Below are 3,656 nucleotides of genomic sequence, written 5' to 3'. Positions count from 1 at the left end.
ATAAATATGTGAACTCAAACATTAGCAGCAGAGCTGTGAGCTGCATGGGGCCCTGTGTGACTGCATGGTGACTTGTGCAGTAGGATCAAAGCAGCCTCCTGCTCCAATTTCCTCCCATCAGCCATTTATGCCCTCTACCCAGCTTGCTTTCTGATGAGCAAGGTGTTCCAAAATAAACCTCAGCAGAATGACTTTTCTTCCTAGATATACAACTGTGTGTAGTCTATTTCTGTTTTCAAACCACTGAATGATATGCCTGGAGTGACTGTGAAATTAGTGATACAGGAGGCCAATTCCATCACATTTTGGAGTGAATTTCCTCAAGGCCATACCAGTTCTCCCTGGTGGACACTAAAATATAAATTGTAAAATTATTACTTCCTCTATTCTAATGAATAAATAAATGCTTTACATGTACTCGTTAAATTTGCTAGAACTATCTGCACAACAGATGAGACAGATGAGGATATCCAAATGCATTTCTTTAATTATCTATGTTTATCAATTTACATTTTTTGAAGCGGAGGGTAATAATCTTCTTCAGGTTTTGGCATTAGGGTTATATGCTGGCTTTACAAAATAAGTTAGGAAGTTCTCCCTCCTTTATTTTCTGATAGAATTTGTGTATCATTAATATAACTTCTTAAACATTTGATAGAATTCACTAGTGAAATGTTGTGGCCAAGACTTTTCTTGGTTAAAAGGTTTCTAATTTTTTTTATTTTATTTTTTTGAGAAAGGGTCTCACTCTGTCACGCAACTGGAGTGCAGTGGTGTGATCTCAGCTCTCTGCAACCTCCAACTCCCAGGCTAAAGCAATCCTCCCACCTCAACCCCTCGAGTAGCTTGGACTCCAGGCACGTGCCACCATGCCTGGTGAATGTTTTGTATTTTTTGTAGAGACGGGGTTTTGCCGTATTGCCCAGGCTGGTCTCAAACTCCTGGGCTCAGGTGCTCAAGTGATCCTCCTGCCTCAGTCACCCAAGGTGCTGGGATTTACAGGTGTGCACCACTGCACCCAGCCACAGTTTTTTAATTATTAATTTAATTTCTTATATATATGGCAATTCGGATTTTTTGCTTCATGTCGTGTCAGTTTTGCAGCTAGTATTTTTCAAGGAATTTGTCCATTTAATTTGTTGACAATTACATTAAAATATGCCCCATTGTATCCTTTAAATGTCTATAGGCTCTATAGTGGTAACTATTTGCTCATTCTCGATGTTGGTAATACATATTTTCTCTCTTTCTGTTTTTGTTTTGTTTTGTTTTGTTTTTAGATGGCGTCTCGCTCTGTCCCCCAGGCTAGAGTGCAGTGACACAATCTCAGCTCACTGCAACCTCCACCTCCCGGATTCAGGCAATTCTCCTGCCTCAGCCTCCCAAGTAGCTGGGATTACAGGCGCCCGCCACCATGCCCAGCTAATGTTTTGTTTTAGTAGAAAGGATTTCACCATGTTGTCCGGGCTGGTTTTGAACTCTTGGCCTGAAGTAATCCACCCGCCATGGCCTCCCAAAGTGCTGAGATTACAGGTGTGAGCCACCGTGCCCAGCCATCCCTCTTTATTTTCCTTGATCTGACTAGCTAGGGGTTTACTGATATTCCTCACAATTTCAAAGAACCAGCTTTTGGCCTTACTGTGTTTCTCGATTATTTGTCTGCCTTTCTATTTCGTTGATTCCTGTTCTTCTTCTTATGTTTTTGTTTTTTGTTGGTTTTTTTTCTATTTACTTTGGATTAATTGTAGTTTTTCTAGCTTTTTAAGGTAGAAATGTAGGATATTGATTTTAGACCTTTATTCTTTTCTAATATAAGCACTAAAAGCTAGGAATTTCCCTCAGTGCAGATTTAGCAACATCCCAGATATTTTGATATGTGTATTTTTATTACCATTTGGTTCAAACATTTTTTAGTTTCTTTTTTCATTTCTTCATTGACTCATGAATTATTTCAAAATATGGTATTTAATTTCTAAACATTCGGCATTTTTCTATTTATTTTAGTTTATTTTTTTGAGACACAGTTTTGCTCTTGTTGCCCAGGCTGGAGTGCAATGTCACAACCTCAGCTCACTGCAACCTCCACCTCACAGGTTCAAGCAATTCTCCTGCCTTAGCCTCCAGAGTAGCTGGGATTACAGGCACCCACCACCATGCCCAGGTAATTTTTTGTATTTTTAGTAGAGACGAGGTTTCACCATGTTGGCCAGGTTAGTCTCAAACTCCTGACCTCAGGTGATCCACCCACCTCGGCCTCCCAAAGTGCTGGGATTACAGATGTGAGCCACTACGTCCGGCCACATTTGGTATTTTTCTAGATTTCATATTTATTTTATGGTCTGGCAGATGGTCTATTTTGGTCAACTTAATATGTGCACTTGAAAGAATGTATATTATGTAGGAAATAGTGTTCTATAAATAGTAATTTAGGCCAATGTGGTTAATAGTATTGTTCATTTCACCTGTGTCTTTACTAATTCTTTTGTCTAGCTGTTCTATCATTTGCTAAGAAGAGATGTTAAAATCTGTAGTAATGATTATGGAATGTCTGTTACTCCCTTTAAATTCTGTCAATTTTTGCCATATATATTTTGAAGCTCTATTTTTAGGCACATACACAATTATGTGCACAATTGCAATTATGATTGCAATGGCTTCCTGATAAATTGATATTTTATATCATGTTTATGTTTATTTTTATTTAAAAATTGAGACAGGGTCTTGCTCTGTCTCCCAGGCTAAAGTGCAGTGGTATGTTCATGGCTCACTGCAGCCATGACCTCCTGGGCTCAAGTGATCCTCCCACTTCAACCTCCTGAATAGCTGGGATTGCAGACACGCACCACCATACCTGGCTAATTTTTAAATTTTTTTTGTAGAAATGAGGACTTGCTGTGTTTCCCAGGCTTATCTCAAACTCCTGGATTCAAATGATCCATCTGCCTCTGCCTCCCAAAGTGGTGGGATTACAGGCCTGAGGCAGCAGGTCCAGCCAACTCTTTTATGAACTATCCCCCTTTATCTCTGATGATATTCTTTGCCGTGAAGTTTATTATCTGATATTAATATGGCCACTCTCCTTGCATGGTAGATGTATATTTTTCATCAATTTACTTTCAATCTGTCTATGTCTTTATTTTTAAATTGCATTTCTTGTAGAAAGCATACAATGGGGTTATGCTTCTTAAAAGCCCATTCTGACAGTCTCTGTCTTTTAATTGTATTATTTCATCCATTAATATTTAATGTAATTCTTGATAGGGTTGGATTTCAAGTTACCATTTTATTATTTGTTTTCTGTTTATCCCCTCTACTTTTTTCCTCTGTTCTTTCTTCTCTGTCTTCTTGTGGATTAGTTGGATATATTTCAGAATTCTGTTTTAATTCATCTATAGCATTTTTAGTCATATTTTTCTGCATTATTTTCAGTGGTTGGTCTAGAAAATTTAATATATATTCTTAAACAGTCTACTTGGAATATTACCAATTCATGTTTTTTGTTTTTGTTTTGTTTTGTTTTTTGTTGTTTTTTTTTGAGATGGAATTTCACTCTTGTTGCCCAGGATGGAGTGCAATAGCGTGATCTCAGCTAACCACAACTTCTGCCTCCTGGGTTCAAATGATTCTCCTGCCTCAGCCTCCCAAGCAGCTGGGAT

This window comes from Homo sapiens, chromosome 6 (assembly GCF_000001405.40).
Source record: "Homo sapiens chromosome 6, GRCh38.p14 Primary Assembly".
Taxonomy (NCBI): domain Eukaryota; kingdom Metazoa; phylum Chordata; class Mammalia; order Primates; family Hominidae; genus Homo; species Homo sapiens.
Note: the sequence above shows the minus strand (reverse complement) of the source record.